Genomic DNA, 25,369 nt, shown 5'->3' on the forward strand with positions numbered 1-25,369 from the left:
CCAGGAAGGCTCCGGGGCCCTCAGCTGGTCTCCGACCTTCCCCTGCAACCTGTGACACCTGCCATTTTCCCATCTTAGGCGATGGCAACGCCACCCTTCCGTTTGCTCCGGGCAAAACTTCGAGAGTTCCCTCTGACTCTGGAGTTTTTTCCTCAGATCCAAGAGCCAACTGGTCATCAATTCGTAATTTCCCATCGGCTAAGTGCGTGGGCATTGAGCTACACGCGAGTCTCTCCACCTCTGCGGAATGGCTACTTCGGGGTAGGGGAGGGGCCCTCCCGTGGATTGTAAGGTGTTTAGCAGCAGCCGTCGCCTCCGCTGACTAGATACATGCCAGGGGGTTAGCATTCTCCCTCCCCGCTTCCCCCATTCGTGACCTAGTGTCCCAGCGTGGAGGTGAGAGGCGTGTAAGGGCAAAGTTGCCCCCTCTTGAGAACCACTGATGCGCGTTGTCCTGCTGTCTGAGCTTGTGCAGAGGACTCTCCAGATGAAGGCTCAGGGGTCGATCCAGCTTGAGACCCCCTCGCTCCCCCGCACAGTCAGACCTTAGGATTGGAGGCTTTTAACATCTCTACATCATGAGATTCGAAACCTTTAGGTCTTTTCTTCCGTTCTGTCCTCCAAATCGGCCTCTTCCGAGCCTGTTGACCAGGGCCAGCCAGGCAGACGGCTGGGTTCGCTCAACGAGGCTCCTCTCGGCCCTCCTGGAGCTTCAGGCCTCTTTCGGTTGCAGAGAAACTTTATGGGCCACTTCCTTCGGCATCCCCGGGGGCAGGTGCGCGGTGCCCGGGGAAGAAGAGGGTTTGACTGCGGTTCTCGACCCCCGGCGACCAACCTCCACCCCGGTGGGCGCGCTTTTCCAGGCTCCTGCTGGTCCCACTGGCCGGGAGTTAGGTCTCGGGTCAGCCTGAGCTCCAGAGATGCCCAGGCCCGGAAGGACACTTAGGGGAAACCAGCTGCTCACTTTGGTCTTGTCCGCAACGGACCTCTTGCTGCCAGGAAAGAAAGGCGTCGAGTCCTGTCCTGTTGGGTAGGCGGAAGAGAGATCAAAGGGAAGACAAGAAAAATCCTGGGAGGTTTCAGGATCTAAAGTTACCATGAAGTCGACCTAACCTCCTCTGGAGGTCCTCCCAGTCCTCCCGTGGCTGGCGATGGTGAATCGAGTTTCCGTCTCCAGTTTGCCAAGGCGGACAAAGCCGACACAATGGGCCTGTCCACTATCTTCTTTCATATACACAAAATGTCAGCTTTTCCTGTTTCTAACTGGCAACATCCCGCCTGATGACCAGCTTAGCAAATTAGAGACTCTCCATGGGATTCCATCTGTGTCTTAGTTCGGGCTTCTCTAACACCGTACCATACATAAACTGGGTGGCTGATTCACAACAGAAATTGATTTCTCACAGTTCCGGAGGTTGGAAGTCCGAGATCAAGGTGCCGACATGGTAGGTTTATGGTGAGGGCCTTTTGTTCTGGTTGTAGACTGCCACCTCCTCATTGTATCCTCAGGGGGCAGAAAGAGGGCGAGAGAGCTCCCCGAGGTCCCTTTTATAAGGGCATTAGTCCCATTCAGACTAATGGGACTAAATCCAGACTCTGTGCTGAGTGTTGTGGATTTTTTGCATGTTCATCCTCCCCGCAGGCAACTGGAGATGTATTGTCCCCAGAGGGTACAATAGAGAATCTTCCGTCACAAGTCAGCAACCAGCATATGTGAGTGACAGCATGTGTTCCACTCAGAAATGAGAGTGTATTAGTCCGTTTTCACGCCGCTGACAAATACATAACATAGTCCAGGACGAAAAAGAGGTTTAATTGGACTTACATTTCCATATGACTGGGGAGGCCTCAGAATCATGGCGGGAGGCAAAAGGCACTTCTTACAAGGCAGCAGCAAGAGAAAATGAGGAAGAAGCCAAAGCAGAAACCCCTGATAAACCCAGCAGATAGTGAGACTTATTCACTGTCAGGAGAATAGCACAGGAAAGACCCACCCCCATGATTCAATTACCTCCTCCTAGGTCCCTCCCACAACACATGGGAATTCTGGGAGATACAATTCAAGTTGAGATTTGGGTGAGGGCACGGCCAAACCATGTCAGAAAGGGATGAAGTGACAGCATATCCTGATGTGTGTGATGGTTTTATGAGTTATTACCTATTTCAAAAATTATTGCAATGTGTAAAAAAGAACAAGGACTTGTACTATCTGACTTTAAGGCTTACTATAAGCTATTACAGACAAGGCATCAGGAGTGACAAATAGATAAACAGACTGAGTTAAGAGACTTGAAACTGATCCACAGCTATACGGTCAATAAATGGGTTTTCAATAAAAGCAGTTCAATAAAAGAAAATAAATCATTTCAATTAATGGACTTTTATATGGATGTGGGGAGACCAACAATGTTATTCTCCCTCACACTACACACAAAAGTAATTTCAGCCGCATTACACACCAAAACTTAAAAGTTAAAGATATAAAGCATTTCAAGGATAGTTTGTGACTTGTTGGTAGGCAAAGATCACCCTACCAACAAGCAGGACACAAAAAATACATATATAAGAAAGACATGATAAATGAGACTTCATCAACATTAGCCACACCTTCTCATCAAAAGATACCACTAAGAAAGTGAAAAGGCAAGCAAGTCACAGACAGAGAGAAAATAGCCACAAAACGTGTCTGACCTCCACACCCTGCAGTTATAATTATAGTGGTCTGGTACACTGCGCCCAGTTTCTGCTGGATGGAGTATTTTCTGGGTGTCTCTAATGAGTAAGAGAGGGCCCCATGGGATATTCCTTCAGTTCCCAGGTGAACAGTGGGAAAGACTCCACATTGACCAACCTCGGGGGCCTAAAAATCCAGGTCCTATAGGAGGGTAGAGTATACCTGGACCCTGACCCAGACCCCTGGATGGGTTGTGCCAAGAGACCCAGCAAGGGAAAGGATTTCCTCCTGCCTCAGGTTCTCTGTCCTTCTGTGGTTAGACGACCTGAACCCAACTCCCTCCCCAAGCACTGGAGATGGGGCTTTTCCAAGGGCTGGGGATCTTGCTGTCCTGAGAACAGCTGAGCAAGGGGGTCGAGGAGGAGCTTGGGTGGTGGAGGAGAGGAAACCGGGTAAGATGCATGAAGCCGTTGGCTATACCAGGCACAGAGAGGACCCACTGGGACCCAATGGCCTGCATGTGAAGCCAGGCCTTGGGCCACCTCGTTCCTCAAAGGGGTGCTGACTTCCATGGGGTGTTCAAAGGGACTGTGGAAAGAGAGGCCTTCAGCCCACACCTCTGAATGCTTTTCGACCACAGCATGCCCTGTGGCCTTTATCCTGCTGGTGTGGAACAGTCAGAGCCCTGCAGGGCTGCAGAGCTTCTGTACTGGGCGGCATCCCAGCCTGAGTGTCAGAGCTCAGAGAGCAGGCACCGGAGCAAGTAGAGAGGAGGGCACCTTTTGGACAGAATGTGTGGGACAAGAGCGACGGCTCATCCATTCAGGTTCCTCAGAAAATGAGAGTCAGGAAGATGAGGGCGCAGACCTGATTCCCTACACAGGGCTGAAAGCAGACAACCGGAGGAAGAGCAGCACCTGGGCCAACGAGGTAGAAGACAGAAGACCACAGTCTACTCCTGCCCTCAATCTCACCCCTTCCCACCCACATCCTCCACGCCCCCTGATCACCTTCCTCAGAAGTGTAATAGGAATCCAGATTCCCCCTGGCCTGGTTGCTGCGGGAGGCACAGTGGCCTGATGGAGCCTGAGGCAGGTGTGGGAAGATGTGGATTGTCTAACTGGAGGTTGGGAGTTCAGGGTGAGGAAGGAGAAGCTTGGAGTGCAGGATTTGGTGGTATGTATGTGGCTGTAGGCAAAAGAAAGAGACAACTAAGCCACTTGAAATACCATGAGAATTCAAATTTAGAAAATTCCCAGGGAAGTATGCATGCAGGCACTCATGAGATCCAAAAAACAGCTGCTGCTTAACTGCGTGTTGCAAGCAAGCCCTAAATTGCTGATTTTGAAACAGCCTGATGGGTTCACAAAGACAATTTCTGAATAGTCTTAAGAGCAGAGGTGCACTAAAGCCACTGTGCCCCGCAGCTCAGGATCCCAGAAAGTTCTTTAAGGAGTAAGTCTTACTTCCATTTATGGAAGATTTTTGGAGTTGTCCTTAGTCACCCCCAAAAATGTTTTGGTTAGGAGTAGAATTTTAGATGTCATCAATTTAAAAATTAAAACTGAAACGCTGGAACTCATAGAGAGATAAAATTAAGAGAATCCATTCACATCCTGAGTAGAAAGATTTTTATAGAACATGACGGGCTTTAAAAATAAAGAAAAAATATGGCAAAATTTCATCAAATTAAATGCTTTCAGAACTAAGATTAAAATCTGAAGCCACCCAACTAGCTGGACAGATGGCTTCTTTGCCAAGGAGACCCCAGAGAAGTCTTAAATACTGAGTTCCTGGCCAGTACTTGGAAGCTCAGACACCTCTCCTTATACTCTCTCCCTTTGTGGTTTAGACACAACTGACCAGCATTATTGTTAAAATAGAGATCCTAAGACTGACAGAACAGAGTCCTTACAGTAGTAAGATACCATATTATAAACAAGACCTAAGGCCATGCCAGGCAAGGTTAAGTCATGCACCCCTCAACTTAAAGAATAAACTATGTTCTAATTGCCACAGGTTTTTTTCTTCTTCCTTTTTTTCCTCTAGCTAAACAAGCACTGGCCTTGAGATAAGCAATGCTGAAGCACTTGCAGCTCACCCATTAGCATAAACTGACTGAGCCCTCCCTACACAAGCCATAACTACAGCTTTGATTGGACAAGAGACTGATTTCAGTAACTTCCCCTTGATAAGAGAGCACTGGCTGTGGACGGGTTCTGGACGGTTTACAGAGGCTGTGCACTTGACTGCCTTTGTGTCCCTACTTCCCCTTTTGAAGCATAGGGCCTAATTATAATGTATTTAAATGTCATCTCCACCCCAAAGTGAACATGGGTTGCATGTAACAGGCTTGTTTACTCAGCATGCATGCAGCAGGATCCCTTCATGAATATTCAGAGCTCCTCCTATTCCCTGTTGAATATGCATATGTGGCCCACCACATCAACATAAATCCCTGTTCCCCCCTCCCCTCCCTGGAAACCTACTTTTCGGTTTCAGCAGGAGGGTATGCCTCCCAGTCTGTGGGAATGGCCACCTTGCAGGCTGTAACCATTTATAAAAAATAAAATCTCCCTTCTAAATTTATAAATTGTGTGATTTTTCAGTTGACAGCTTTCAGTCAGACTTTTCACTGACTGGGAAAAGTCATTTGCAATATATTTATTTTAAAAATGACTCCTCAGGATACAAAATTCTTGTGCAAAGATCACAAGCATTCTTATACACCAATAACAGACAAACAGAGAGCCAAATCATGAGGGAACTCCCATTCACAATTGCTTCAAAGAGAATAAAATACCTAGGAATCCAACTTACAAGGGATGTGAAGGACCTCTTCAAGGAGAACTACAAAACACTGCTCAACAAAATAAAAGAGGATACAAACAAATGGAAGAACATTCCATGCTCATGGGTAGGAAGAATCAATATCGTGAAAATGGTCATACTGCCCAAGGTAATTTGTAGATTCCATGCCATCCCCATCAAGCTACCAATGACTTTCTTCACAGAATTGGAAAAAACTACTTTAAAGTTCATATGGAACCAAAAGAGAGCCCGCATCACCAAGTCAATCCTAAGCCAAAAGAACAAAGCTGGAGGCATCACGCTACCTGACTTCAAATGATACTACAAGTCTACAGTAACCAAAACAGCATGGTACTGGTACCAAAACAGAGATATAGACCAATGGAGGAGAACAGAGCCCTCAGAAATAATGCCACACATCTACAACTATCTGATCTTTGACAAACCTGACAAAAACAAGAAATGGGGAAAGGATTCCCTATTTAATAAATGGTGCTGGGAAAACTAGCTAGCCATATGTTGAAAGCTGAAACTGGATCCCTTCATTACACCTTATACAAAAATTAATTCAAGATGGATTAAAGACTTAAATGTCAGACCTAAAACCATAAAAAGCCTAGAAGAAAACCTAGGCAATACCATTCAGGACATAGGCATGGGCAAGGACTTCATGTCTAAAACAGCAAAAGCAATGGCAACAAAAGCCAAAATTGACAAATGGGATCTAATTAAACTTAAGAGCTTCTGTGCAGCAAAAGAAACTATCATCACAGTGAACAGGCAACCTACAGAATGGGAGAAAATTTTTGCAATCTACTCATCTGTAGATTCATCAGAATCTACAAAGAACACAAACAAATTTGCAAGAAAACAACAAAGAACCCCATCAACAAGTGGGCGAAGGATATGAACAGACACTTCTCAGAAGACATTTATGCAGCCAAAAGACACATGAAAAAATCCTCATCATCAGCGGCCATCAGGGAAATGCAAATCAAAACCACAATGAGATACCATCTCACACCAGTTAGAATGGCGATCATCAAAAAGTCAGGAAGCAACAGGTGCTGGAGAGGATGTGGAGAAATAGGAACACTTTTACACTGTTGGTGGGACTGTAAACTAGTTCAACCGTTGTGGAAGTCAGTATGGTGATTCCTCAGGGATCTAGAACTAGAAATACCATTTGACGCAGCCATCCCATTACTGGGTATATAAATCATGCTGCTAAAAGCCAAATGATTATAAATAAATTATATATTTATTTGATTTATATGATTATAAATAAATGATTATTATAAATGATTATAAATGCCAAAGGATTATAAATCATGCTGCTATAAAGACACATGCACACGTATGTTTATTGCGGCACTATTCACAATAGCATAGACTTGGAACCAACCCAAATGTCCAACAATGATAGACTAGATGAAGAAAATGTGGCACATATACACCATGGAATACTATGCAGCCATAAAAATTGATGAGTTCATGTCCTTTGTAGGGACACGGATGAAGCTGGAAACCATCGTTCTCAGCAAACTATCGCAAGGACGAAAAACCAAGAACTGCATGTTCTCACTCATAGGTGGGAATTGAACAATGAGAACACTTGGACACAGGAAGGGGAACATCACACACCAGGGCCTGTTGTGGGGTGGGGGGAGGGGGAGGGATAGCATTAGGAGATATACCTAATGTAAATGACGAGTTAATGGGTGCAGCACACCAACATGGCACATGTATACATATGTAACAAACCTGCATGTTGTGCACATGTACCCTAAAACTTAAAGTATAATAAAAAAAGTCAAAAAAAAGACTCAATTCTTGAATATACAAGAGAACTTTTGTAAATCAGTAATATAGAGCTAAGCCAAATAAAATAGGGCAAAATATTTGAATAGTCCTTTGCAAAGGAGAGTTTCTTATATGCTGGAAGCCACAAGAAAGTATGCTTCATAGGATTGCTCATTAGGCAAATACAAATTAATTCCACACTGAGATAGCACTAACTACTCACCAGTGTATGGCTACTTTTTTTTTTTTTTTTCTGAGACAGGGTCTCATTCTGTCACCCAAGCTGGAGTGCAATGGTGCGATCTTGACTCACCGCAACATCCCCCTCTGGAGTAGCTGGGACTACAGGTGCATGCCACCATGCCCGGCTAATTTTTGTATTTTGAGTAGAGACAGGGTTTCGCCATGTTGGCCAGATTGGTCTGAGAGCATAGCTACATTTAACAAAGTTAGTACACCAAATGCTGACAAGAATTTGGTGCCACTTCAACTGTCATCGCTGGTGAAAAACATTCTAGAAGACTGGCAATTTATACTGATGTTAAACTTATACTCAGGTCATGACCCAGCAATTGAAGGACTTCCATGAATCTCAAGTGCACACAAAGACTGTTATAAGAATATTCAGCACAAGAATTCAATAACCCCAAAATTGAGAAGTGATCTATGAAACTACATGGATATATCTCATGAGTATAATGAATGTAACTGCAGAAAAAAGGCCAGACACAAAACATATGTACATTCATTCATGTGAACTTTAAGAACAGGCAATTGTAACCTGTGGGAATAGACATCAGAATAGTGATAACTAAGAGGACACAGGGTGGGAATCACCTGGACAGGGGCTCTAACAGGCCTTTCTCAGATGATGGCAATTTTCTATAACTTGAGCTGGGTGGTGATAACATTGATCAAAACTAAACAAATTGCACTAAAGATTTGTGCACTTTATGTGAACTGTAGCTTCTTTACTGTTCTCATTGCTTGAACCTGGGAGACACAGGTTGCAGTGAGCCGAGATTGAGCCACGGCACTCCAGCCTGGGTGACAGAACAAGACTACGTCTCAAAAACAATAATAATAGTAATAATTTACTGTTCTCATAAAAATTAGCAGATGGGGAATGGAGGCAAGCCTGTGCAGACCATGACAACTAGTTTAGATTTTATTGTCAGCTCATTAAAAACTCGTCCTCGTTTTGTGTTTTTAAAAAATTCCACTGATACAGCCGTTTTCTCTACCAGAAAAGACTATAACCGCATTATTTCATCAGTGGAAGCTACAGACAAAGGGCCCTTGAGAGGCGGCATCTTCACCTACGGGAATTTTTCCTGCTCAATTGTGAGACAAAGAGCATGTCCAAGTTTTCCTATCGGCCAGGCCGCCCCCTAGTTTCTGCGCTGTGGGCTAAACTCCAGAAGCTGGCGCCCTTCAGGGCCAGAGGTTTACTCTGCTCTCTGGAGGCTGCTAGGATTAAAGGCAAAGCAAACGACAGGTCTATTAGCCACAGTTGCAGGTTAGAAAACACTACTGTGACTCAGATTAGAACCCAGGTTGTGGCAACCACAACTACAAGTATTAACTACTACACGACCACAAAGCCTGCTGACAAGCATTGCACTTCTATGTTTTGAATGTAAAAACACTCACACTATTTTATCTGCTTTATTGTTGGACGTCCGCAGATTTTCGTGCTTTTCTGTCTTTCGTGCGCTTCTCCCTTTCTCTCCCCATTCTGCTACATAATTAAAAAAAAAATCTCATCTCTCAGGATCCGACCACTGCCTCTACAACAAGCCTCCTGGGAGGTCTCTTTGTCCCATTGACATCTCTGCCTTCTTTCGCTGCTTTTTTTTTTTCTTTCTTTTTTGACGGAGTCTCGCTCTGTCGCCCAGGCTGGACTGCAGTAGCGCGATCTTGGCTCACTGCAACCTCCGCCTCCTGAGTTCAAGCGATTCTCCTGCCTCAGCCTCCCAAGTAGCCGGAATAGCAGGTGCATGCCACCACATTTGGCTAATTTTTGTATTTTTAGTAGAGACGGGATTTTCCCATGTTAGCCAGGCTGGTCTTGAACTCTTGACCTCAAGCGATCCATCCGCCTCGGCCTCACAAAGTGCTGGGATTACAGGCGTGAGCCACCGTGCCCGGCCAAATTTCAGGCCAACACCTGTTGACACACATTGCCAGACACACGGAATCTCTCGGGGAACACCGATGGGCCCACAAAACACGCGGAGGCCGCGGTCGCTGACGATGTGAGCAAATTCGGTTCACGGTGTCTGGGGTACAGCCCTGAGGGTCTACTGGCCGCCTCTGCGCAAGGACCAGTCTCCGCCGCTCCCCTCATCTCCACGCAGATTCTTGCCCACACACCACCCCTTTCTTTGGGCCGCTGACGCCTCTTGGACCTCTGAGGTGACTGTCCTGCCCGCAGCTTCTCTCCTTCCAAGAGCGTCATTTCTTGATCCTCTCCATAGTGGCTCAACGGTAAGCCCAAGGTCCAGCACGCGAATCAGGAACCTGATGGTTCTTCGGGTTTGCAGGGATCCTTCCAGTGAATAGATGAAAGTCACAGGTACCAGTATGAAAACTGCAGTGACTCACCGGAAACACTTCATGCTTGTCAGCTTGCTAAGCTGTTTGAGTCCAACAACTGCATGGGGTCCTGAGTTAGTCTCCTGAATGTCTCCTGCCGCTACTTTCGTGAGTGTTGTCGTCACTTTACCTTGTGGTGGCCAAGCCCCTAAATGCACTATTAGGTTATGCAGTATGATTTTCAGCGTAAAAGACAGATAAAGAGCAACAGCGGGGTGAAAAAGACCCTCTTGCATTGGCCGGGAATTGAACCCGGGTCTCCCGCGTGGGAGGCGAGAATTCTACCACTGAACCACCAATGCCTCTGCGTAACAACCGCCTGCAGGATAACAGAAAACAGTATCCACAAAGACTTAGAAACCGTTCCAAGCGGTTTTTTCAAGTGTCGACTAAAAGCTAACAAAGACATCCAAACCAAATGTGTTTTTACAGGAAACTTTTACTAGACAACGTTATAAATATCAAAATAGCTCATTTGTCGGATCAAACTCTTAACTCTGAAAAAGGTCTTTCTTTCTACCTGCATTACAAACCCCTATAATAAAACATCAGAAATTCATTCACGTTTCTTTTTTCTAATCCTAAATCTTCCATCGTCAACCTCAAACTGCTGCCTTAGAGGTTCTAAGAAGGTAACCTAACTGGTAGTTTAGGTAAGTAAAGTTCAAATCCAGGGAGGAAATCAGTAGCAGAAGCAGAATTAGAAGAAAGAGGAAATAAAAGGACAGAACCAAGGTAGAGATAATGAAGAAACAAAGGTTGGTCCACTAAGTTAGTCTTTTGTCGCTGGTTTTTTTGGCAAAAGAGTAATGATCAGTCTCGTAATCATTATAATACTATTATTTGTCTGCTTGAAGATGTATAAAGCATTTGAAGGAAATGTGATATGAAAAGATGAAGAACGCTCGCTGTCAATGTTTCCTTGTTTGGGAGAATCCCATTTCCTAAGTTAATATGCTTTGATGTATTAGCTATGTAAGCAGTAGACTAGTTTAAGGAAATATTGACGGTCAAATATTAGCATATTAGTCTTTTGATGAAGTTCAAATAGTAGAGAGATTTCTTTCCTCAATTTTCTCTGGAAACATTCAACTGAAGAGACAAATCCAGAGTTTTCTCCATATGTTGGGTCTGGGAGTCATTATGACTTTTTCAAAGACAGGAGCTGTGACATGGAATCATGCTTCTTCTCTAGCTGAGAAGCCAAGCTAGGTCCAGGCTGCGTCATAAACTTGAGCCCACCAAGGAAATCACCCTTCACATTGACCTCGCAGAGTTTTGGCTGTTCTCTGTTCTTTGCCCAACACCCAAGACACACACCAGCTCTGGCCAACAAACCTTAACATATGATCTATATCCACCAGAGCTATATTTATTCCCAAATCTCCTTCTAAAATACAAACCTGTACTTTCTACTCTCAACTTCTAAATTTACAAAGGCCTCATATGCATCTCAGAGTCACAGATGCTAAAACTTAACCGGTTTTCTGAGGATTATTTGGGGAAGGGGTATGCATGCAAATGTATATACATAATTCATGTGATTTAGGAATATTGACTCTATGACTTCCAGATGCAGATTTAGAACCTTTTTAAAAAATATTTTGTTTTTGTTGTCTTGCAAATCAGCCAGATCTGCAACTTACCAGAGTAAAGCGAAGCCAAGCGGGACCCTTAGGAAATGCACTAAGATGTCATCCACTTTCAGTGTCAGCCTGTGAAAATACAGGCGATAGAAGAGAATGAAGAGAACCTGAAGGAATTTCTGGAACCAAAGCTAATATTAAGCAGGCCTCTTGCTGGCAGACCAGTGGAAACTGTAGCCTGGTCAACGATCTCTCTAGATTGAGGAGGTCTAAAGTGTAGCCACAGGTTCAACTACTTTTCTGTTTGTTTCCCAACCTCGATTAAACTCACTAAATTTAGGGACAAAAAAACAAAACAAAACAAAACACGATGTTCCCACGCAGTCTCGAACCAGAGACCTTTCATATGTGAAGCGAACATAATAACCACTACACCACAGAAACTGCATATGCACCAAAAAAGGCAAAATATCATCATGAAAATCTTAGGTCAGCCATTTCTATTATCGTTTCCAAAGTAAGAAATTCAACTGCATTTCGAAATTCGACTGAAAAAAGCCCAATAAGCACCAGCCATCAAGAAGACTATGGCTCCCAATAGGCCCAGGCTTAGCGTTCCGCGCCCACCCCCAACACGAAAACCATGGGGACCCACACCCGGGCTTCGGGGACACATACCCGGGCTTCGGGCTCCCGCATCCTCCCCTGGGTATGCAGTTCCAGAACTAAGCGCCGTGTGCGGGATCCTCCCGGCTGACACTCTTCGGCTCCCAGAAGCTGCAGGAGCCGGCGGGCTTTGAGCGTCCGAGCCCTGGGCGCCCCGTGCCTCTCAGGAGTGTGGACGCCGCCCTTCCAGGGATGCGGACCCCGCCTCGGGGCCTTTTCCCCGGCGCCGGCCGTCGGGGCTCTTGGCTCTTCTCGTCCTCCCAGGAACCGTAGGACTCTCCTTGCCCTCCCTCCCGTAGGCCGAGGGGCGCGAGCTGCGCCTGTTTCCTCACGGACCCTTTGGCCTCAGCGCCTCGACGTCTTGCAATTCTTAGCTCACGGCTCTTCCTCCTATAACAAGGCCCTTCCATGTCATGTCCCCTACTCCCTCTTAGCACCAGAGAGATGTCTCCCCTGCCCCACAGGTCACATTCCATGAGTGGTGAAGTTTCTAGAGTTGTAACCATGGCATCTCCAGCCCTGTGTGTTCCTCTCCATGCTCCCCATTGAGCAGTCTTGATCCTATATTAGCCCCAGGAAATGAAATAGAAACAGGACCCTACGTTAAAAAGTTGCAGTGGAGATGTGGTGGCCACCAGGGGCTGGAACTGTGGGGTGACTGAGAGTATCCAAAGCCCTGTGGCCAACCTACTGGTGCTGAGTGTGCTGGTGAGCCTCTCTGTCAGCTGGCTTCCCCGGGCCAGTTGCTCCCGGAAGCTCTGTCCCAGGTAGTAGTCAATGTCATTGCTCCTTAGGAGATCCTCAAAAGATTTTACTGTATCTTTTGCATGCTGGGTGAGAAGATAACAAACACCTCTCCCTTCTCGTATTTTTTGCCGTAGGTAAGACAGTTCCCGGGCCTGATCCTGAATCAGGGAATCATATTTCCTAATGCAGGACAGAAGAGGAAAGGGTGGATGATAAGTTATGGGGGCTTCTGTAGAGATTTCTATGAGAACATCTCTAAGGAACTCCCCCAAACTGAATTCTGGCACGTAAGCCATAGGAGGTATTTAAGAGTAAATTCTACCCTGATAAAGTATTGCACTGAAAAATTTAGTATGGGCCGAGCATGGTGACTCACGCCTGTAATCCCAGCACTTTGGGAGGCTGAGGCAGGCAGATCACAAGGTCAGGAGTTTGAGACCAGCCTGGCCAATATGGTGAAACCCCTCCTCTACTAAAAACACACAAAAAAACTAGCTGGGCATGGTGGCACATGCCTGTAATCCCAGCTACTTGGGAGGCTGAGGCAGGAGAATTGCTTGAACCTGGGAGGGAGAGGTTGCAGTGAGCCGAGATGGCACCACTGCACTCCAGCCTGGGTGACAGAGTGAGACTCTGTATCAAAACAAAACAAAACAAAAAATTTACCATGCCACTGTTCTTCAACTGTTCTATATATGTTAATTATATGTCCCTAGATAAATCGTAAGGTCTGTGAGAATGAAGATAGTTCTGCGTTTCACATCCCTTACAGCACCAGCATCACAGAGATTCACAGCAGATACTCAATGAATAATTAGACTCATCTCATCCTAAGTCTAGATAGGACCTTTCATGTCTTCTGTTTTAACCACCACCTGATGTCTGAATTTCTTCTGTGTTGTGATACTGTGGCTGACTGTATTTTGCAATCATGGCCATCACATAAACTCTCATGCCATCAACTGATGAGACCCAAAACAAGAGACCCTAAGTGAGAGCCACCCAGCTGAGCCCAGTCAAACCACAGAACCGTGAAGCATAATAAAGTACTGTTTGAAGTCACTAAGTTTTAGAGTGGTTCTTACTTAGCAGTAGATAACCAGGACACATACCAAGATGAATGTCTGTGTTTTCAACACAAAGTGTCAATAACACTGATAACTATGGCAAATAGCATTGAGAGCTTAATGTATGCTGGGCACCATTCTAAGCACTTGTACTAATTTTTTTTTTTTTTTTTTTTGAGACAGAGTCTTGCTCTGTCACCCAGGCTGGGGTGCAGTGGTACCATCTCGGCTCACTGCATCCTCCACTTCCCAGGTTCAAGCGATTCTCCTGCCTCAGCCTCCTGAGTAGCTGGGATTACAGGGGTGCACCACCATGCCCACCTAATTTTTATATTTTTAGTAGAGACAGGGTTTCACCATGTTGGGTAGCCTGGTCTTGAACTCCTGACCTCAGGTGTTCTGCCCACCTCAGCCTCCCAAAGTGTTGGGATTACAGGCATGAGCCACCACACCTGGCCAGCACTTGTATTAATTCATGTAAACCTAATATCCACCCTTTGAGATGGGTTCTGTTATCATCCTCACTTAATAGGTAATGACAAAGGCTCAGAAAGGTTAAGAAGGTTGCATGGGTAGTAAGCATCAGAGCTAGGCAGTCTGATTCCAGTATTACCACTATACTATACTATACTATACTATACTATACTATACTATACTATACTATACCATACCATATGTACTATTACTTTACTGATATATCCCTAAGAGGAAATCCCTGAGATCTGGTATCTCCCAGATACTGGGACATCATCCTATGCCCTCCTGCTTGCCTACCTGTCTTTTCCACAGACCTATATCTACCATTTAAATCAGTGTCCTTGTGAATACCCAGACATGTTGTTTCTTCCAACTGCCTGAGCTACCCTACACCAAGCACAAACTTACACATTTTCAATCCAGAAAGTGCCCAGACAGTGCCATCCTTACCCAGGCCACGAGGCTGATCTCAGCTCCTCAGCCAGCTTCCCTTCTAGTCAATTTTTTGGGAGCTGGGCCTCCAGCTGGGATACTCTCTGGATGAGACTCTTCAGGTCCTTTTTGGCCTGAAGTCCTGGAGAGTAGAAAGCCCCAGTGCCATCAGACAGCCACACCTCATCCTCATCAGTGACACTATGAGGTGAAGACCCCTCCAGGGTGTCAAGAGCTCTCAGCTTCCAGGGTCTTTCCAGACTAGATGAATAATCACTTGTAACTGAGAGGGACTGGACCCGGCTCTTGAAGTTTTGAATGACCTTGTTGGCATTCTGCAGCTGGGCCTTCAGATCTTTGATGTCCTTTCATAGGACCCAGATGTTTTCTGACTTTCCATATACCCAGAACTCTTCCTGCCTCCCTAGTTCATTCTCCAAGGGCTTCCTCTCAGAGGAACTAGCCAGCGTTCAGCCCCGGCGCCCCTGCTCAGAGCACAGCCCCTCCACCAGGACCATTTCCTTGCGGCTGCTGTGCTCCTCATGCTCTGAAAAAAGACAAAGATGTCTTCCTAAATAAAAGTTGGATGTGCTGTTGTGGCCACTGCCTTTGAGAGGAGGCAGGTTTGGTCATGAGGACAATAATTACTAGGGAATAAGGTGAAGTCGTACTTTATTCAACCCTGACACTGTACTAGGCATTCAAATACAGTATTTCTTATCCTCCTTATACCCACAAGTTAGGTTTCACCACTTTCTATTTTACTGACTGGGGAAACCAAAACTTAAAGAGAGGTGGTAAACCAGCTTGTTCTAGATCACTCAAACTAGCACATGGCAGAGCCTGAATTCAAATCCTCCAACGTCCTGTGTTCATTCCACACACACTGATGTTTCTCAAGCCATTAACATGGCCTTATCTAGTTAGGATAGCCACAAGAACGCAGGACAAGCTATTTCTGCATGCTGCAAGTTTAATGCTCTCTAAAGTTTACTATAATTTAAAAGTTTATTGGGTTACAACTGTGTGAAAAATAGGCAAAGGAAAATAAGACTTTGAATAAATATATCAGCATGTTAACATCAGTGTATTGGGGCAGTGGTAGTCAGAATGAGAACTAATCCACAGCATTTTACCCGATGCCAGACACTGTTCTAAAGCATTTTATAAGAATTTACTCATTTAATTGACATTAGTACCTGATGGGGTAGGTAGTTCCTTTATTACTATTTTAACATTTGAAGAAACTGAGGCATAGGAAAGTTTACAAATTGGGATTTGAAGCAACAAGTCTGGCCCCAGGATCTTTTCTCTTAACTGCCACACTACACTTCCTCAAGAATGAGAGAGACTGTGTTTTTCTTCTCTTCTCGTTTTGAATGTGGTGGGTGGCCCTATAGTTGTAGTCCTTTTATAATGCAAACCAAAATTATTTTTAACTTATGGTTTGCATGTTTCCAAAACCTCATGTGGTCTCTAAGTAGGCCTTAGTATTTCTATAATAATCAGTTGGATAGAACTTCATATGATTATTATTATTATTAGCAGTATGCCACAAACTCATTGTAGAAATTCAAACTTATACTCAGCCTCATTTTGGGTAAGAGTTCTCCTATTAACCTCCTGTCCTCCTCTTCCCCACTACTTGTCAGGTGTGGAATTGGCCAACAGCACCCAAATGTGACAGCTGACTCCAGGGAGGGAAGGTGAGCCCCACACCCTGTGCTCTTACCGGGACTGGTGGATTCCTCCTGTTCAGCCTCATTCTTGCTTTGACCACAAGTCTCATAGCCCAGGTCCTGGAGGTCCACCTGGACCTGCTTGCTGTCCTGCTTCAGCAAGGGTTCACCTGCGTGGGAAGAGACAGCAGGTGTTACAGAATGTCTGAATTTCCCACATATGCCCTGAGCCTCAATGGCACATACCCTAACCTTGTGGGGCAGGGAGGGCAGATCCACAGTGCAAGAGAAGCTTCTTTGAACTGGTGGGAGAAGAGACCACCAGCTCCAGGAAGCAGAATTTCTTTCCACAGGAGGAGCCTGCATTTGCCATTGATAATCTCCCCTTCAGATAACCTAGGCCTTAGTTGGGACAAGGTATCTGTAAGTCAGGGATTGTGTACTCTCATCTCTAGCAGCCCCACTGAAGCTGGCAAGTGCTTTATCAGCAGGGGTTCAATAAATGTTGAATGTAAAACATGGCTGATTACTTTTTATTTTCAATCCAACAAATCTCCATTTCTGGTGAGAAAATCTTGCCAAAACCAACCAAGCAAATGCATAAAAGTATATCAAAAAGAAAATGAAAGCTTCCCTGCCTCCCAATCCCACTTGCTTGGTTTCAGCTATTATTTATTACATGGAGGAAGGGGGCTAGGCACCCAGGAAGTCCCAAGTCCTGTTCTGACAATCATCTGGCCTCCCTGGGCAAAGGGAAAAGAGGGAAGGCAAAAAGAATATAACATTACTGTTTGCAGAAATTTCCCCTTGGTACAGGAAACTCTGGTAAACTGAGAGAGTATGTTTTCCATGAGGGAGGCCTCAAGGGCTCTTCTCTGGCCCTAAGCCCAAACTGGATTTTGCCTCATTTTCTAAGATGCAAAGGAAATGGTAAAAGTTGATCAAAGGAGAGGGCAGAGAAAGAAAGAGGACGACTCCTCCATCTCAGGTCCACCTTCCTCGGTGTTGCTTGAGGGATCAGAGGAAATGCATGAACAGAGGTGCGTGGGAACTACGGCTGCTCTGTGAACTCAGTGCCCTCCAGTTACGAGCTATTGTGAGGTTCCATGATGTAATGGCGAGCGCTTTGGACTCTGAGTACGGTGATCAGCGTTCAAGTCTCAGTGGGACCTTTCTGTATAATGCCAATGATATTCCTATTGCTCCCTAAGCGGAATGGGGGAAATTGCCCCAGTCATGGTCACCCACCGTCCAGGCCACTGGCTGTGTGCAATTGGAGTCCTAGACCCAGCGACCCAGCAAGACCCCTCCCCTCTCAGGGTGACCCTGGGCCTCCAGGTGACAGGTCTCCTCCACTGAAAAGGCTGCGTCCCCTCAATCCTAGACCCTGAGTTTTCTTTTATACATGTCATTGGGCCATTGCCCTGTGTCTCTTTGGAAGAAATGACCTATATGAAAAACTTTACTTCCGGGATTCCCTAATTCCTTCATCCCTTAGGACGGCGCAGTTTTTCAGCTCCTGGTCTTGGCTCCAGTTCTAATGCACACGTTTCATTTTATTGTCATGGGATCCCCTCCAACAGGCTACCACTGGATTCCTGTCCTTGGGGTCTCTGTGGATGGCAACCAGATGCTGCTCTTGTCCCAGATCCTGACACCTCTCTCCAGGGAATTGCCTCCCTTAGCCTCCTAAATCAGCCAATATTTAGATTTGGGCCTGGGATCGCAGCAACTGTGGAGAACAGAGGTTCCCGATCCCTGGCCAGCCTCCCGCAGTGAAGGGGAGAGGAGCACAGCAGCTGGGAGGGGCAAGTCTGGGGCCCTGGGCAACCCCCTTCTTCCTGCCCAGACTCTGCTCCAAGGAGCAGTTGCCTTAGGACCAGATCAGATGGAAACTCTTTTGTTCTCTTCTCATCAGCAGAAAAATTTAGGCAAGAGCTCTGGAGGACGTTCCTAGCTCCTAAAAATGGTGTGGCCAAATCTCTCCAGTTTTGGAAATGCCCAAGGTTACCAAGTATTTTGAGGGCTCACTTTGGAGCCTCTGAAAAGGAGGGGTGAGGGCCCATGGAAGGTACCTGAGGGATGCAGGGGAGAGAGGGGAAAGAGCAGACAGGAGGGAGGAGAGAAGGAAGGAAGGGGAGAAAGGGCGTGTGAGGGCCAGGAGCCAGGATTCACCCTGACAGTTCAGTGACTGCTCCCTTCCAACAAGCTTCCCACTGTGGCACCTTCTAGCAGGTGGTTTCCATCTCTTATTGATGTCCTAAGACCTTGGCTCTATGGAACGGTTCTGTTCTATTTGTCTGGCATGAGTCCTGGCAAAGTTTCTTTTTCACCATTTGGGGGATGAGATGGGGGTATATAGGTTTGCAAGTGACTAGGAGCTAAGTCAGGAACTTGTGGAGCCACTCAGAGTCAACTGTCAAGTAGCCTCCTTCTCCCATTCCCCTGCAGGACGATTGCCTGCAAGACAGGGCCTGGAGAAGGCCAGGGCACCCAAGGCCACAGAAATGCCCAGGGATGAGTCCCGGCTGGAGATGCCTTGGCTGAACTCACTGTGTACTTCCAGGGTGCACAGGGCAGGTACTCTGGGGGTCTGGCCGGGAGACTGAGCAAGGGGACCAGGGAGGTTATGCAGAAGACTTCTGCACAGCAAGGCAGACATTCTTCTTGGAGCCCCCAACCCAAATCAGGTCTTCCACCTCCTCTTCCTAAAGACCCTTTACTGCAGTCATTCTTTTACTAGAACTGCAAGTTTATAGAACATAGATTTCAGTGTGCTCATCTGGCCAACCATCTTCAGTGGCCAATGCCCAAGGTAACCTCCCTCCCTACCAAGACCTGAACTCAGAGCCTTACCTAAGGAGAAGATGTCCTGTTCTTTCTTTCCCACCAGAACTGCCCTGGCCCAGACCCCATTTCTGTCTGGTGACCAGGACAGTCCCCTCACCAGTCTCCCAGGTTGGGGAGGGCAGATTCTCCTCAGCTCCCTGCCCCTGAGAGACCCCAACAGCCTTGCGTGGCTCCAGCCCACAGAGGGCTATCCATGGCCCATATCTCTCAAAACTCTCCCCTCCCACTCTGAATCCACCCTCTACTGCATGCTCCCCTCACAGAACAGACATGGGTTTTTTTTTGTGTCCTCGTTTTGCCTACCCATACCCCAGATTGACTTTTCTGTCTCAGAACTACCTGTCCCTCTTTGGACAGTGTCTTCTTGGTACTACACATGAAGATGTCCTGCTCTCCCCTGCTCAAGGAGAGAGTGCCTGACCTGAGCTGGGCCCATCAGATCCAGTACTTACCCGGAATAGGAAAAAGATGGAGAGGGTGACCAAAGATTACAAAAATCTCTGAAGCTTATCCACTTGAGAGAGAGTCCCTGAAGATACTGGCCTTTCATTTCCTGCTATGTATATCCAGTGTGACTGAACTCTGAATAACATATACAAGTTATAATAATGTAGTAGTTGGCCCTCAAACTAGGACACAAACATGTTAGAGGGTAAGGTAGTGAGAGGCATGTTTGGGGGTGGTGGTGATGAGCAAGTATGTGAAGGAGAGATAGTGCCTACGCTTGAAAATCAAAAAGGAATAATATCTATTTAGACATAAGGAGATAAATAACTAAATACTTGCTTCTATGTGATGAAACTCTGGGAGTACACAAGGGGACTGCTGTTTTACTAAACAAATTTTCCAGTCTATATAACTTTGATAAGGTATCCAAATAAAAAAATTCCTTTCCCATATATGTATGTGTATATATATGTATTTGTATACACATATATGTTTGCATTTTTGTATTTTGAATATAAATTTTTATAGAGTCCTGTGAACCCCTCTTTTCAATTAGGATTTGAGTTTGATGTCATGCATGCAATGTGATCCCACTGTGTGACTACAGAAATGTTGGCAAAAGTAAGTTCAGAGGAAATGGTAGGCAAGTACTTCCCAGTTTTGGCCAGAAGATGGAGAAAAAAAGAATTCTCATAAAATATTAAAAGTATGACTTGTTACAGCTTCTTTTCATAGTAATTTGGATAGAAATTAGCAAAATCAGAAATGTATAAATACTTTGGTCTGACAATTCCATCTCCAGGTATCTACGGAGAAATAGACAAGTGATGCACGACAGATACATGTGTCAGTCTGGTCTCTGCAGTTGTATTTGTAATAATACACATTGGAACAATGTCATGGCCATCGGTTAGAGAATGTTTGAAGAATGACCCATTCATATCAGGAAGGACGTTTCAAAGATCAAAGCCTGATGGAAATGCTGGAGGCCGTGACGCTGATAGGAGCTCATGCGTGTTGACCAATTGCTACGTGACAGGCATTGGCTCCACGCTTTTCCTGCACTGCTCGTTTAAACATTGGACAAATTAAGTGTTCTGATTTAGCCCATTAGACAGATAGAAATGGAAGCACAGAAAATTAATGGGTTTATCTTTAAACGCGAGCAGATTAGGTTTTTCACCCAGGGCCTGTGGCTTCACCATAGGTGTGATTCAGGTTCTGTTGTTCTCCACTTTAGGAATTCCCAGTATTCCAAATATGAGAAGCTGAGAAAACAAACAAACTCAAAACTCTAAAAACCGGGATAAGTAAGGGTAGATGTTTGCTGGGTGTGGATTAATAATGAACTTTTTTTGCCTCAAGCAACAAAGAGGCACCTTGGAAAATAGACAAGAGACAAGAAGAGGAGAAGCTTGAAGATATATTTGGTCCAAGGAAGAGACTCTTCAGAGGGAAGATCACATCAGCTAGAAACATTAATGCGACTGGATGGGCTCAAACCACCGACTTTTCAGTCAACTTCCGACAGCACTAACCTAGTGTTCCAGAGACCCTGCTTGTTAAACAGTGAAAGCTGTTGCTCAATTGTGTCATCCATAATTGTCAAATATTGTCATTTAGTAGCACAAGGAAGTATTCTCTGTTGCCAAGCTAGAGTACCCATAACTCTTCTGTTTTGTTGAACATTCTTCCCCACCACAAACCCTCTTTAGAAGACTGGTGGCTCCTAAAACATTGAGGCCAACAGACCTGTCCTTGTGCATGTTTGGGCATTGATCCAGGGCCAAATCAGTGGGAGACTCCTCCACGCACATGCCAGGTCCCCAGGTGACAACTGCAGTCTCTGGATCTGAGGTCATCCACTTTCCCATTCCTAGCTCACCTCACCCATCATGAAGCCTGGTTAGTATTGCCAGAGACCCGAGTGGGCAGGTGCCCGCACTAAAGACAGAACCTGCTGTGTGCCCACTTTGCTGATCCCTCCATCTTTCTAGACAAGGCTTTGTGAGCCAAGGACTTTGGGTTTGCTCACAAGGCAGCCCCTCACCTAGTAGGCATTAGTTCATTATGTATAGTATACGTATATGTGTATGTATATGTATATGTATATGTATATGTATATGTATATGTATATGTGTATGTGTATGTGTATGTGTATGTGTATGTGTATGTGTATGTATGTGTATGTGTATGTGTATATGTATATGTATATGTAGTCCTCAGGTTGTATTCCTTAAATATATATAATATATGTAATTCCTTAAATATATAATTTTAATACAAAATTTTTAAAAGATTCCTTTCATAAACATTTACAATAACACCAAGAAATATAAACTACATAGCAAAGATGTGAAAGCCAGCCAGGCGCAGCTTCAAATCCTAGCGCTTAGGAAGGCCGTGGCAGGAGGGTCGCTTGAGCTCAGAAGCTTGAAACTAGCTTAGGCAACATAGTGAGACCTCATCTCTACTGAAAATCAGAAAAATTATCCGGCTGTGGTGGTGTGAGCCTGTAGTCCCAGGTACTCAGTGGATGAGGCCCTAGGATGTCATCGGCCTGAGAATTCCATGCTGCAGTGAGCTGTGTGATCTTGCCACTGTACTCCAGCCTGAGTGAAAGAGTGAGATCGTGTCTAGAAACAAAAGAAGAAAAAAAAAAAGGTGTGAAAGCCTATATATTGAAGATTACCATGTATTACTGAGAGCAGTTAAAGACCTTTGGAATAGAGAACGTTCCTTCTTGCATTTCAAGATTGCTTTTGTTTTGGGGGGACACTTGCTGTTTTTTAGGAACATGAAGTTCTTCTCAGGCATTCCTGTAAAAAAAGCCACTTTTTGATAGGATTGTATTGAGTCTGTGGATTGCTTTGAGTTGTATTTTTATCTTAACCATGTTACAACTTCCAACCCATGGACACAAGATGTCTTTCCATTGATTTAGGTCTTCCTTAGTCTCCTCGAGCAATGTTCTGTAGTTGTCTGTGTACAAGTACTGCACCTTCTTGAACAAATTTATTCCCAGGCATATTATCCTTACAGGTGCTATTATAAATGAAATCATTGTGTCAGTTTACTTCTCAGATAGCTCATTGCCATCACAATGGATTGTTTGCTGAAAGTTTGCTGAATTCACTTATTAACTCTGATAGTGTGTGTGTGTGTGTGTGTGTGTGTGTGTGTGTGTCTGGTGTCTGTGTGCATGTATGTGTGTTTGCCTTTGTATGTATTGTTTGGGATTTTCTATGCATAGGATCACACCATCTGCAAATTGAGATCATTTTGTTTTCTGTTCAAAAATATTTTTTCTCATGTTTATTTTTGAAAGATAATTTGGCCAGGTGTAGACTTGTAGGTGACAGTTTTTCTTTTTTTAAGTACTTTATTGCAAACTTCTTGTTTGTAAAATTTCCTATGAGAAATCTTATGCCATCCTTATATTTAGTGCTCTGTATGTAACATGTTCTTTTCCCTTTTATTACTTTTAGGATTTCCTTTTTATCACTGGTTTTGATGGATTTGATTAAGGTGTTCCTTGGTGAAGTTTTCTGCATGTTTCTTGTTCTTGGGATAATCATATTTCTGTAATATTTGAAGTTTATGATTTCTATGGAGCTTCTAAATCTTTCATCCAGTATGTTTTAAATATCTTTTTCTCTCTTCTCCACTACCTGCCCTTCAGGGATTCCATTTAGCCCTATACTGGGGGGTTTAAAGTTTTGATGCTGATGGTCTTTATATGTTTTCAAGTCATTTGTTAATGTGTGTTTCATTTATGTTAGTTTCAACTTCTATTCCTTCTAGTTTAATAATCTTCTCTTCTGCAATATTTAATCCAGTGCCTTCTTCCATTTCACACTGTAAATCATAGTTTTTATCTACAGAATTTGATATTTAAAAAATCTTCAACCTCTCCATTTAATTAAAATACAATTATACTAATTGCGGTAACGTCCTTTTCTTCTATTTCCAACGTGTGTGTCAATTTCAACCAGATTATTAGATTCTTCAGTATGTGTCATGTTTTCCTGCTTCTTTGACTGCTTGATATTCTTTTATTTTTATTTATTTGTTTTTGGGGGGATGGAGTTTCACTCTCGTTGCCCAGTCTGGAGTGCAATTGTGTGATCTCAGCTCACTGCAACCTCTGCCTCCCAGGTACTCAAGCGATTCTCCTGTCTCCGCCTCCCAAGTAGCTCAGATTACAGGCATGCACCATCATGCCCAGCTAAACTTTTTGTGTTTAGTAGAGACAGGGCTTCACCATGCTAGTCAGGCTGGTCGTGAACTCCTGACCTCAGGTGATCCACCCGGCTGCTTGATATTCTAAGATTTGATGCTGGAGCTTTGGTGTCAATGCTCAAAAGTGCCCAAAGACACCACTCAACCTCAGTGTCTATGCACACCCAAGCTTTTGCAACAGGAGAGGTAGAGACAGCAGAGATGAATGTGCTACAACATGCTGGTAGAAGGTACCCCAATTGTGCTTGGGGCTTCCTATGCCTCATAGAATAATGTGCCTTCCTTAATTTTTCCCATAAGAACCACCCTACTTCATGCCCTGTCTCTCTGTCCAAACACCAGGACAGCCCTCAGACCAGTCTCAACCACCCAATGGATTGACAAAGGTCCAAATATGATTCAGTGGAGAAGGCATTCTCTTGTCAACAAATTGTGTAGAAACAACTGGACATGCATATCCCCAAAGGAAAAAGATTCACCTGAACCTCAATACTGACTCAAAAACTAACTCAAAATGGATTATGCAACTAAATATAAACTATAAAAGTAGAAAAAGTATAGCAGGAAATATAAGACAAAATCTTCACGACGCAGTTAGGCAAAGTGTTCTTTGTTATCAAGAAACACAAACCATTAAAGAAAACATTGATAAATTCAACTTTATAAAAAGTAAAAGTTTTTGCTCAACACGAGACAGTATTAAGAGAACAAATATAAGCTGCAGATTGGGAGAAAAACAGGGGAAATGACAAATGTGACAAAGGACAAGTGTGATAGTTACTTGCACGTGTCACTGTGACTGAGCACCAGGGTGCCGGGACATTCGGCCAAATGTGATTCTGGTTGTGTTCCAGAGAGTGTTTCACATATGATTAACATCGGGATGGGCAGACTAAGTGAAGCAGATTGCCCCCCTTAACGGGGGTGGGACTCATGCAATCAATCAAAGGTCAGGAGAGAATTAAGAGGCCTAATGGGAAACAAATGCTTTCCTGGGTATCCAGCTTTCCTTCCATCTTGGGAATTTCAGCCTCCATAATCTCAGAAACAAATTCACATATGTATACACACACATATACATTTCATAGGTATGTGGCTAAGATTGTATTTTTAAAAGTTCAGCCATGAGATGATTGGTGAAGCCAGCCAATGAATAAGGGTGTGTTCTATTATATGACTCAGTCTTCTTTTGTACACGATTGAAGTTCTGCATTTGAAGTAGGAGGACAGGAGAGAGCAAGTCCACCTAGGATGATAACAGCTGAATTTCTCAACAGACACTTCAAAGCC

At 44.7% G+C, this 25,369-nt stretch overlaps 1 protein-coding gene, 1 non-coding gene and 3 pseudogenes across 2 annotated transcripts, besides 2 other annotated features; 2 read left to right on the top strand and 3 right to left on the bottom strand.

Moving 5' to 3' along the window:
* Nucleotides 473–1,319: an enhancer, noted in NCBI's record as "H3K27ac-H3K4me1 hESC enhancer chr1:16862789-16863635 (GRCh37/hg19 assembly coordinates)". NCBI's record gives its function as "activates a minimal SCP1, AML or CMV promoter by ChIP-STARR-seq in naive H9 embryonic stem cells {active_cell/tissue: H9 hESC(naive)}" and the evidence as "EXISTENCE:reporter gene assay evidence [ECO:0000049][PMID:30033119]".
* Nucleotides 3,165–3,842, top strand: LOC124903856 (putative protein FAM231BP). Its single transcript, XM_047436898.1, has one exon. The coding sequence runs from the start codon at nucleotides 3,245–3,247 to the stop codon at nucleotides 3,752–3,754; it is 510 nt and encodes a 169-aa protein (XP_047292854.1). The 5' UTR covers nucleotides 3,165–3,244; the 3' UTR covers nucleotides 3,755–3,842.
* A 6,275-nt stretch (nucleotides 3,843–10,117) lies between these two features.
* Nucleotides 10,118–10,188, bottom strand: TRG-CCC1-1 (tRNA-Gly (anticodon CCC) 1-1). The gene has a single exon. It is a non-coding gene; the product is annotated as a tRNA-Gly (tRNA).
* Nucleotides 11,844–11,916, bottom strand: TRV-CAC11-1 (tRNA-Val (anticodon CAC) 11-1; annotated as a pseudogene).
* PDE4DIPP8 (PDE4DIP pseudogene 8) lies at nucleotides 12,830–15,409 on the bottom strand (annotated as a pseudogene).
* LOC101056699 (tRNA-Lys (CTT) 7-1) lies at nucleotides 17,641–17,712 on the top strand (annotated as a pseudogene).
* Nucleotides 19,081–19,581: an enhancer, noted in NCBI's record as "H3K4me1 hESC enhancer chr1:16881397-16881897 (GRCh37/hg19 assembly coordinates)". NCBI's record gives its function as "activates a minimal SCP1, AML or CMV promoter by ChIP-STARR-seq in naive H9 embryonic stem cells {active_cell/tissue: H9 hESC(naive)}" and the evidence as "EXISTENCE:reporter gene assay evidence [ECO:0000049][PMID:30033119]".

This window comes from Homo sapiens, chromosome 1 (assembly GCF_000001405.40).
Source record: "Homo sapiens chromosome 1, GRCh38.p14 Primary Assembly".
Taxonomy (NCBI): domain Eukaryota; kingdom Metazoa; phylum Chordata; class Mammalia; order Primates; family Hominidae; genus Homo; species Homo sapiens.